Genomic DNA, 11,192 nt, shown 5'->3' on the forward strand with positions numbered 1-11,192 from the left:
ATGAGGACCTATTCATAAAAGGGACTACCACTCAATTGTTAGAATGAGTAATCTAAAATTATTTCAACATGAGGGATCAGTCTCACAATTGTAATGTTAAATCTCAAAAACAAGGTAGAGACCTAAATAGATGGACCTCATAAGACAAATACAGCCTGGATGTGGCAGTTCACACCCGTAATCCCAGCACTTTGGGAGGTTGAGGAGGGAGGATCGGATTGCTTGAACCCAGGCATTCAAGACCAGCCCGGGCAACATAGCAAGACCCCCATCTCTACAAAATATTTAAAATAAATAAATAAGACAGAAACAGTATAATTTCCTAACCATAGTAGGAAATTATATATATATATATGATTCTTACATAGTAAATCTATAAAGGCACACACTAGAATGATACATACCATCTTCAGCATTGTGGATGCTTCATCTGGGAATGATGAAAGAGGAAGAAAAATTGGTAAAATGCTAGCCTCTATTAAATCTGTGTTCCATTCCAGTTACTCAGGAGGTCTGAGGCAGGAGGATCACTTGAGCCCAGGAGTTCAAGACCAGCCTGGGCAACATAGCAAGACCCCATCTCAAAACAAAAAACAACAACATCAAAAGACAAATGTGTGTGTTAGTTATGTGTGTTAGGCACATAGGTGTCTATTTTATTGTTTACTTTTCTATATGTTTAAAATGTTACTTTTTTTTTTTGAGACAAGAATCTTGGTCTTTCACCAAGGCTGGAGTGCAGTGGCACGATCTCGGCTTACTACAACCTCCACCTACCAGGTTCAAGCGATTCTTGTGCCTCTGCCTCCCAAGTAACTGGAATTACAGATGTGCACCACCATGCCCAGCTAATTTTTTATTTTCAGTAGAGACAGGGTTTCACCATGTTGGCCAGGCTGGTCTCCAACTCCTGGCCTCAAGTAATCCACCTGCCTTGGCCTCCCAAAGTCCTGGGATTACAGGCGTGAGCCCCCATGCCCAGCCAAAATGTCACTTTTTGAGAGTTCAGACTGAATAGTAAGGCACTTATTCTGCAAAGCCCTTTGAACCTAAGGGTTCCACAATGCCAGGTAAAAAAAATAAAGAGAAAGGGTGTCTCCCATCTCAATAACATAACTTCTTCTATTCCTCTTCTTAGGAATGTTCCTGGCAGATATAATTGAGAAATACTTTGTTTCCCCAACCCTATTCCGAGTCATCCGATTGGCCCGTATTGGGCGCATCTTGCGTCTGATCAAAGGCGCCAAAGGGATTCGTACCCTGCTCTTTGCCTTAATGATGTCCTTGCCTGCCCTGTTCAACATCGGCCTTCTGCTCTTCCTGGTCATGTTCATCTTCTCCATTTTTGGGATGTCCAATTTTGCATATGTGAAGCACGAGGCTGGTATCGATGACATGTTCAACTTTGAGACATTTGGCAACAGCATGATCTGCCTGTTTCAAATCACAACCTCAGCTGGTTGGGATGGCCTGCTGCTGCCCATCCTAAACCGCCCCCCTGACTGCAGCCTAGATAAGGAACACCCAGGGAGTGGCTTTAAGGGAGATTGTGGGAACCCCTCAGTGGGCATCTTCTTCTTTGTAAGCTACATCATCATCTCTTTCCTAATTGTCGTGAACATGTACATTGCCATCATCCTGGAGAACTTCAGTGTAGCCACAGAGGAAAGTGCAGACCCTCTGAGTGAGGATGACTTTGAGACCTTCTATGAGATCTGGGAGAAGTTCGACCCCGATGCCACCCAGTTCATTGAGTACTGTAAGCTGGCAGACTTTGCAGATGCCTTGGAGCATCCTCTCCGAGTGCCCAAGCCCAATACCATTGAGCTCATCGCTATGGATCTGCCAATGGTGAGCGGGGATCGCATCCACTGCTTGGACATCCTTTTTGCCTTCACCAAGCGGGTCCTGGGAGATAGCGGGGAGTTGGACATCCTGCGGCAGCAGATGGAAGAGCGGTTCGTGGCATCCAATCCTTCCAAAGTGTCTTACGAGCCAATCACAACCACACTGCGTCGCAAGCAGGAGGAGGTATCTGCAGTGGTCCTGCAGCGTGCCTACCGGGGACATTTGGCAAGGCGGGGCTTCATCTGCAAAAAGACAACTTCTAATAAGCTGGAGAATGGAGGCACACACCGGGAGAAAAAAGAGAGCACCCCATCTACAGCCTCCCTCCCGTCCTATGACAGTGTAACTAAACCTGAAAAGGAGAAACAGCAGCGGGCAGAGGAAGGAAGAAGGGAAAGAGCCAAAAGACAAAAAGAGGTCAGAGAATCCAAGTGTTAGAGGAGAACAAAAATTCAGTATTATACAGATCTAAAACTCGCAAGTGAAAGATTGTTTACAAACTTCCTGAATATTATCAATGCAGAACAGCTGTGGAGACTCTAACCTGAAGATCTATACCAAACGTCGTCTGCTTACCACGTAACACAGCTGCATCTTGAGCAGTGACCTGCCAAGGGCAAAGGACCCCGCTCCCTAGACTTACAGATTTTCTAATGCTTGGGCAGGTGGTTACTGCATGTTCCACATCAGTCAATGCAACTTAGGACAAAACTAACCAGATACAGAAACAGAAGAGAGGCTGCCGGGACCAGCATATTTCCGTTGCAGCCAAATGGATTTTATTTTTTCATTTTATTGATTCTCAGAAGCAGAAAGCATCACTTTAAAAGTTCGTTTGTTCATGCAAACTATATTTGCATTCTTACATTAGTTAAGCTAAGCAGCAAAAAGAAAACACACACACACACTCACATTTAGCCCATGTCATTTAATTGTCAGTTTCTTTGACATAAAGCGCATCTTCTCCACATGGGCTTCACGTGGTTTGGAGATGGGTGGGGGAAAACAATCAGGTTTCTTCAGGCTGAGGAGGACTTGCTCAGGCCGATTCCAAACATTGTGCTCGTTCAATGCGTAGAAATGATTTGCATGATGGCATGCCGTGATCAGAAGTCATGCATGAGATCCATACACCACAGGACACTACTAATCTAGTCCCTTGCACTGGGTCAGCCTTTGGACAGGACCCAGCCCTGCACCGTTCACTGTATTTGGAGAAAATGGTAAGAGTTCCATACCGGCTACAATTCTTTGAGTTCTTAAAAGTCCTTCATACACCTTCTGGGTAGGGAAACAACCAACTAATTGACTAACACCACCAACAACAAAAAACAAACCCAATCCAACAAGCAGATGGATCCGTTGCGTGTATATGTTTAACAGACATCTCTAACATACAGCCATTGTTGCACATTTTGCAAGATGAACTATTTAATGCTGCTCTGTGTCCAGTACATGGGGGAGACTTTGATCCCAAATGGCTTGTACTATTTATGTCACTGTAAAACCAAATCCTAGGGCTAAAAAAAAAATTCATTTGTATCTTGCAATATTTATGACGATCGTTTAGCCTTCATACTGGAGAATTGACACTTATTTGGGGTAGAGATAAAAGTGCTTTTCAAAGTAGCACCAGTTATCTCTAGGGGTAATTTGGGGAACTTAAAATGACCTTTCATTGGGAGTTATGGGGTGCTCATTTCATTTCGTATCATGTCCTCTGCATTGTGGCTTTCTCCAGGCATGGGTCGATACCGCGAGGGGTTCAGATATTCTGAACTGACCTCTCTCTTCTGCAGAGGGGTCATCGCATACTCACACACTGCATGGCTCCCCCTGCCTCCATCACATTTCTCCACTGAGCAGGGCTTCCCTTGCCCACAGAGGTGGGTGAGGGTAGCAGCATTGGGGTTACGGCTGTGGTTTCTTTCACTTATTATTAGAATAATAGTCACTGGTGAGACCTGAGGTAGAGATGGAGCCGCCTCTGAACCAAGCCCACTTGGTTTCTTTACTGCACTGGTTTTCATGAGAAAGCAATTTAATATTAATTCTTTAGGATGTTCCAGCTTCCCTCAGTGCATTCCCTTGCAGCCAGTTTTGCTATCTGCTTAGCGACCTGCCCATTGTCATTGAAGTGTGGCTTCTGGGGGAGCGTCATATCTTCCATTCCATCTCCTGCTTTAGGAAAGACAGTTTTTAGTCCAGGGGTTTCTCACCTAATGACTGGATTTCAAAGCCAAGATGCTGCAGTTGAATGTGTCAGGAAGTCTCTATACAAAGAGTGAAAAGAGACTTTAGCATGTGAACCAAATCCAAATAAATTCTTCCTGAACCATACACTAGAGGGGGAAGAAGAACCAACCCATAATCAGACACACCGATCTGCCTTGCAGTAGAAGCACTTTGAAGGTAATTTCACAGTCCACCAGACTAGTTTTGCATAGAACAAACCACAGTAAGTCGGCAAGCAGAGCTTTCTATCTTGTTGGACCACTAGAAACTGTCCAGCTCTCTTAAGCCTGCTTCTGCAGCAGCATCCGTAGAATTTTTGTACTACACCCAATACCAGACTGGGAAGGCCTATCTTTCAGTGACCCTGCTAACTGCTAGGATGAATGTATAGTAACATGTACAGGCTACATTGTAAACAGCACAAAACAGAAGCTGACATGTGTGGTTATTCTTTTTAAGAGAATTATAAATACTGTAATATATAATTTTATTTTATTGGCATGCCTTTTTGTAAATACAAATTATTAACTTATTAAATAGGAAATGGCTTCTGGCTTATGCCATTGTCATGTTTATTTTTATTTTTTATACTTTTCTTTCTTCTTAGAACTTAGATGCTGTCAGCCAATGTACATCCCCAAACCAGACAGACAGACAAAAAATTTTTTATTGCTAATGGTCTTTTCCAAAACAACAAAAAATATATATTTTTGTTCCAATGTGCAATAAATTCTAACCACGTCTATGCAAGATTTGGCTAAACTTAATAATTGTTCTTAGGTCTTGAGATGGGCAACAGAGCTGTAAGATCCCGCCAAGTACACCATGTGCTCATGCTAGTGATGTCATTAAGCTACTAGGGCATAGTGATGAGATTTTTCTGAGATCTAACCGTTTCCCTCCGCTAGCTCCTGACCCCAGCCCAGCAGGCTGTCTCCTCAGTAACACATGGGCCTTGGTATCTGGCACCCATCAGCCAGCCTCATAGGAAAGAAGCCACCTCCGCTGTATTTGAAGTTTCACTTTTTAAAAAAAAAATGTTTCCCACCTTTTTATCCTTCACCCACTGTCCTTCCACCTGCTCACTCACTCACTCTCTCACCCATCCTGCTCCACACTTCTTTGGTAGTAAATGACACCATCACCAGCAGTTTACACCCGCAGTTAACAGGCATCGAACTGAAAGAATCAGTGATGACGTTTTTGTGCATCTTCGCTGAGTGGGTAAGTGGCAATGCTTTGCCAAATATTAACGAAGCCAATCAAAGAGCAGCGCAGCCACAGTATCACTGCACATATATATATAGATATATAAATATAATATAAATATTTATTTTTTGTAGCCAGGTCCTTGGTGCAGTATTTATACTCCACAATCCACCTTTTAAAAAAAGGACAAAAAGCAAAAAGATGTGTGATGCTGTTAATAATTTAAAATGCAGAGCCAAAGCCACTGAGCAGCAGCTGACATGGTTGCTGGTTTGTGTGTGAAAAACATTTTCCCCCTCTTCTTTCCTTAACCTCCTTGTTGCTTAGGATGAGGAGACTCTGTAATTTAAAGCAGAGGACGAGAGGAGGAAGAAACTTCCATGTTAACATGGCCTACTCTCACTCCTTTCTAAACGAGCCACTTTTGGCGTCAGAAGTTGACTGGAGAGAGATAAACAAACTCCCAGTCAAAGCCCCTAAAGCGACAGTGCCCAGAGTTCTTTTATTTTTTGCTGCAACCAACGTAAACCTGTAAAAGACCAACAGTGAAGATTAGTGTATTAGTGAATGCATGGAGGCCAATGCTGCCCTAATGAGACGTGATAAAAAGTCCATCACTCCTCTAAGCCAAAAGGAAACAAAATAAAAATGACCCTTTTTACTGTACAAGGGAAGCCTGTCTTGGTGTGTTTGTTGCTTGACTATCCCAATTCTTGAGTCCTGGGAGGGGTCTGGGAATTGGGACCTTAGCACATTTGGGGAAAGGAGGGGAATAGAGGGAAGAGAAATCAAAGGGGCTCTCGCAAAGTTCTGGCTAAGAAGGAGAGATTGGAAGAAAAGCAAGGTCCTGACCCCCCCCAGATCCCCACTCACCCATTGCATGTGGCATTCCCCACTACTGGCCGGTGCTTAGAGGCCCATAAAACCTCTCTTCACCTAATCCACCTGGCAGAGCCCTCAGAGATGACGTCAGCCAACCCAGCTGGACTGGCCTTACTTCTGCCTTTTTCACCTGTATGTTAAAAAACAAAAACAAAAAAACCCTATCCCTGTGCCCCAAAGCTAGGGCATGTGCGATGCCCAACAGCCTCCACTCTGCAAGCTCATACTGGGCCCTGCCCTCCATCGCCCCAGACAGGCCCACAGACGAGGGCTGGTCTCCTTCACATTTGTGTGGGGGTGGGGGCACGCTTCCTCTTCCTTCTCTCCCTGTCCCCCTTTGGGGACATCCCTCTCTAGGCCTAGGCCATGTCTCCTGGTTCAGGAACACTCTCTCAGGAGGATCTCGAAGTGCCCACTCTAGTCCGCTCCAGTAGCTCCACTCTGGAGCGAGATGGCTGGTAGGTCAGTCCCCATCCTCCTCCCCTCGGCCCCCAGCCTCCAGGCCTGCTGTGGAGGTGAGATCGCCATGGGTCATGACTTTGTGACTTGAGTCCTGGGCATCTTCTGTAATGATGCCTCTTTCTTTTCTCAGATGTTGCCCACAGTTTAGCAAAAAGCTTCGTTCATTTTCAGGTACTCCCCACCCCCTAAAGAATTGGCTGCAACTTGCCAGCCAGGGGGACATCAGGAGAGAAGAGGAAGTCTGGGTTGGGAGGGGCCCAAGTTTTGCAACAGAGTTTCCATTGTTCAGCTCTGTGCTTTCTTGGATTCCCTTTCCAAGATTACCAAGATTTCCTCCATTAAAACTCCTGAGGCACCCCCTGCCCCTGCCCCCCACTGCTGTTTGCTGTACATAGAGGCTAAGTGGGGTGGGGTGGGTGGGTGTGCACATGTGGTGTGTGTGTGTGTGTGTGAAGAATGTATATAGGTAAAGGGGAGTGTGGTCCAGTGGTTCCAGAAAAGGGACAGAACTGTGTTCTGTCCCTAGCTTGACCGCTGGCTCGCTGTGTGGCCTTGGGCAAGTCACTTAACCTCTCTGTGCCTCAGTTTCCCCATCTGTAAAATGGGGATAATAATACTGACCTACCTCACAGGGGTGTTGTGAGGCTTTAACTAAATGTTTTGTAAAGCGTTTTGAGATACAGAGGCAAAGGCGCTAGGGAAGGGCAAAGTATTATTGGACTTAAGGAAGCTGAAATGGTACCATAAATGCTGCTATTCTGAGAGCCATTTTAAACTGCACTGCTCCAACCACCCCCGCTTCTCATCACCAGGACAGCAGGTCGAGAAAATGTCTTTCCTTTCACTTGCTTCTGGGGTTTGTGATTATTCAAGACAATTTTTTCCCCTTGCTGTATCTCCTTCCCTCACCTCCTCGACTTGTTCCCTGTTCTGTTTATGCGGAAATGGCAGAAATGCTTGAGAAATGAGAATGTGTAAGTGGATTGGAAGTTTATAGTATGAAATTTCAATTTTACTTTGTACTGTACATCTTTTTACTTTAGAATTTGCAATAAAGGGTTACGTCAATCTTGTTTTCAACTCTCCTCTTGGACTGGCCTGTCATTCTGTCATTGCCCTCACACTGAAGCCCAAGGTGGACAGGCACCACCACCTCGCAGGACCCCACTCTGTCCCGTGGCGGGGACAGAAGTCTGCGTAAGGGCTCACCGCGGCTCAGCCCCTTAGCTGGGCAGGCAGTGCCCTAGCCACTCCCAGGTGTGTGGGAAAGGTTTGGGACTCCACTCAGCATGTCAGGAGGCCTTGCCTGGCGGGGGGCAGCACCTTGGAGGCGGCGCCCTGCACGTGGGCACACCCCTCTCTAGTGGTGCTGCCTCTGCACACTCCAGCAGAGCCCCAGAGTAGCCCCGAGGGGGAGCTGCACATCTTGTTCTGGTCCCCATCACGTTTTTCAAGCCCCTTATTGCGCACACACCTTTCCTTCTGGAGCTCAAACTTTCAGGTCAGACGGCCGTAGGTTCGAGAACGTGACTATGCCACTAACTAGCTGTGGCCGAGTTTCCGCATGTGTGATGGAGACAATACCTTCCTCCTTGAGTTTTGAAGAGTACATCAAATAATGTATGTAACTAGTTAGCATGAGGCCTGGCACACAGTGCGCAATAAGTGGTAACTCTTCGTGGAAGAATAATTGCAAGATAAGAAGGAATCTGCCTGGCGCAGTGGCTCACGCCTGTAATCCCAGCACTCTGGGAGGCCCAGGCAGGCGGATCACTTGAGCCCAGGAGTTGGAGACCAACTTGGCCAACAAGGCGAAACCCCGTCTCTACTAAAAACACAAAAATTAGCGGGGCGTGGCTGCGCACACCTGTAGTCCCAGCTACTCGGGAGGCTGAGGCAGGAGAATCGCTTGAATCCTTGAACCCCGGAGGCAGAGGTTGCAGTGAGCAGAGATCGCACCACTGCCCTCCAGCCTGGGCAACAGAGCGAGGCTCCTTCTTAAAAAAAAAAAAAAAAGCTAAGCTGACAAGAATTGGGCGGTGCACCTGCCACCCTGGGAGCCTGGTACCTGAGCCCCTCTTCCACCGGCAGTCCCACGGGCTTTGCTGCTCCTTTCCAACGGATTAACAAACTCTCTGCTCTTTCGGTATTTCTTAACGTTTATAAACCGTCCAAAGCACCACTGCCCCAAGACTGTGCTCCCATTTTACAGCTGAGGGCAAGGGCACTGTGAGGTGAGGGAGAATCTGGCCCATCTGCAGCCCAGGCCCCCGGGGGCGCGCGCCGCTCTTTAGGAAGGAGCAGCTTTGTTTCCCACCAGCCCTGCACTGTGGCGAGCGGGCCGGGGCTGCCGGGCGACGCCCGGTCGCCGTCGCCGCCAGTGATCCATAGCGTGAGCAGGACGACCAGCGCCCCGGTGCCCAGCGCCCCCACGAAGCCGGTGAGGAGGCCGAGCGCCAGCGGCCCCGCCCAACCCATGGGGCTCCGCTCGTACAGGGGCTGCGGCAGGCGCTCCACGATCAGCTGCAGGGCGTCCCAGTCCGGCGCGGGGACCGCGGCGCGCCGGGGGCGCGGGGCCGGGGCAAAGGGCACGCGGGCGGCGGCGCCGGGCCGCGGCAGGAAGCGCTGCCCGAACTTGCGCAGCTGCAGCGTCGCCTGCTGGTGGAGGTTCTTGCCCAGCTCCCTGGCCACGTCCGGGCGGCCGCTGCGCCGCAGGGCCCGAGCCAGGCGGTCCCAGGACAGGGACGCGGCCTGGGGGGCCAGCCAGGCCGCCAGCGCCTCCCGGCAGCCGTCGGACACCTCTCCAGGCCCGGCTACCCTGCCCGCCGGGTCCTCGGCCGCCTCTCGCCGCCGCCGCCGGCTCGGAGACCCCGACGTGGTGTTGAGCGGCTCAGGCCGCGCCAGCCGGTCTTCAGAAAGCCGGGACAACTCGGCCTCCACGTCGGGCTCGGGCGCCTCCAGGAGCGACCGGAAATGGCCGCACTCCTCCGGGGTCAGCAGCTCGGCCAGACGGACGGCTGCGTGAGGGCCCATAGCGTCCACGGCCCCCGCCGGAGCCAGCGCCCAAACCCAGAGCGTGAGGACCAAGGCGCTCGCCAGAGTCCGCGCCGCCATCCCTGGCGGGAACCAGGGACCGAGGACTGTGCGGGGACGGGGACGTGGACGGGCTCCGCGCCGGTGATGGGGGAGGGGTTCCGAACGCCCGCGGATTGTGGGAGGGAGGAGGCTCCGAACAGTCGGGAAGCCTAGTGGAGGAGGGGACTGGGGACAAGGGGGCTGCCAACACCCAGCGACGGAGACGGGGACTCCGACATGGCACTTGTTGGAGGGTCTCACGAAACTCAGGAACTGGGGTAAGAGGGCTTGCAACACCCAGGAAGGGGGTTCTCAGCCCCCCAGGAGGCTAGGATTCTGGGCTTTTACATTGTAGCTCCTGCCCTAGGCCTCCTAATAGCCACTAATACCTCAAACTGAACAAGTTACCAACATCTCTTCTAATTCATGTACTCCCCAACCGTTCCCCTTTACGAAAAGCCCTAGACCCCTTGCTCTCCATTAACTTCGATATTCAATCAATTCCTACATTCTCTTTTTTTATTTTCTTTTGTGCAGATAGGGGTCTTGCTGTGTTGCGCAGGCTGGTCTCCAGCTCCAGCCTCCGCCTCTGCCACCACCTCCCAAAGTGCTGTGATGACAGGAATGAGCCACCATGCCTGGCCTCAATTCCTAAATTCTCCTCTTGTCTACCAAATACTAAAGTTTAGTATTTATTAAATGAATCCATCATCCCATTCTCCCACTCCAGTGCAAGTCCAGACCCTCCTCCTCTCTTGCTGGTCCTCCAGCCCCCATCCTTGCCCCCCAACACTGGGGCCCTGCCTACCTGCACTTATTCCATTTCCCCCAAGGAAGCTTGGCTCTGGCTCTCCTTCTGATCGCGGCCTGCACTCCTCCTGCTGTCAGGCGCCTTTGGGAAGCCCTCCCTGACTCCGAGTCACACCCCTTAGTGGTGTCCCCATTAGGGACTCCTCCTATCTGCCCCACAGCACACTGCAGCTCGGCCTTTTTACTGTCTCCGCCAACTAGACTGCAAGGTCCATACATTGTCCCCATGGCAACTAGAGCATAATAAGTGTTCAGTAAAGATTTGTTGAGTCAATGTGTGAATTTTTTGTTTTTTTAAGAGACAGGGTCTCCTGCTGCTGCCCAGGCTGGTCTCGGAACTCCTGGGCTCAAGGGATCCTCCTGCCTCAGCCTCCCAAAGCGCAAGGATTACAGGCATGAGCCACAAGGCAGGGCCATTGTGTGAATTCTTAACTTGCAAATCAGTCCTGTCCTCGGCCCCCTAAACTCCCACAAAGGCTTCATCATAGAGCCCCAGCTCCTAGCAGGGCATGGAAGGCCCTCCATAGTGAGGTCCCCGCTGACTCCTCCAGCCTCACTCCTCCAATTCCTGCCCTCACTATCTTGTAACACAACAAGACTCGTGGCACAGCACGTAAGATGCAGTTTCCAGCCTCCATACTTTGCCCAGCTATCCCCCTCCCCTCCTGGGT

At 49.7% G+C, this 11,192-nt stretch overlaps 2 protein-coding genes across 5 annotated transcripts in view, besides 2 other annotated features; one reads left to right on the forward strand and one right to left on the reverse strand.

Annotated features, from left to right (window-relative positions):
- SCN8A (sodium voltage-gated channel alpha subunit 8) overlaps window positions 1–7,721 on the forward strand; it is a 221,632-nt gene extending 213,911 nt beyond the window's left edge. For all 4 annotated transcript variants that reach the window (NM_014191.4, NM_001177984.3, NM_001330260.2 and 1 more), the window contains one exon: window positions 1,139–7,721. In NM_014191.4, coding sequence (NP_055006.1) covers window positions 1,139–2,286 — 1,148 coding nt within the window. In that variant the 3' untranslated portion in view covers window positions 2,287–7,721. The remainder of the gene's footprint in view (window positions 1–1,138) is intronic.
- Window positions 8,778–9,782, reverse strand: TMDD1 (transmembrane and death domain 1). The gene has a single exon (NM_001386737.1). It carries the CDS (start codon window positions 9,748–9,750, stop codon window positions 8,797–8,799), a length of 954 nt encoding a protein of 317 aa, NP_001373666.1. The 5' UTR covers window positions 9,751–9,782; the 3' UTR covers window positions 8,778–8,796.
- Window positions 9,294–9,373: a silencer, noted in NCBI's record as "silent region_4473". NCBI's record gives its function as "represses an Ori minimal core promoter by ATAC-STARR-seq in GM12878 lymphoblastoid cells {active_cell/tissue: GM12878}" and the evidence as "EXISTENCE:reporter gene assay evidence [ECO:0000049][PMID:35858748]".
- Window positions 9,482–9,981: an enhancer, noted in NCBI's record as "H3K27ac hESC enhancer chr12:52208409-52208908 (GRCh37/hg19 assembly coordinates)". NCBI's record gives its function as "activates a minimal SCP1, AML or CMV promoter by ChIP-STARR-seq in naive H9 embryonic stem cells {active_cell/tissue: H9 hESC(naive)}" and the evidence as "EXISTENCE:reporter gene assay evidence [ECO:0000049][PMID:30033119]".

The sequence above is a fragment of the Homo sapiens genome, chromosome 12, assembly GCF_000001405.40.
Source record: "Homo sapiens chromosome 12, GRCh38.p14 Primary Assembly".
Taxonomy (NCBI): domain Eukaryota; kingdom Metazoa; phylum Chordata; class Mammalia; order Primates; family Hominidae; genus Homo; species Homo sapiens.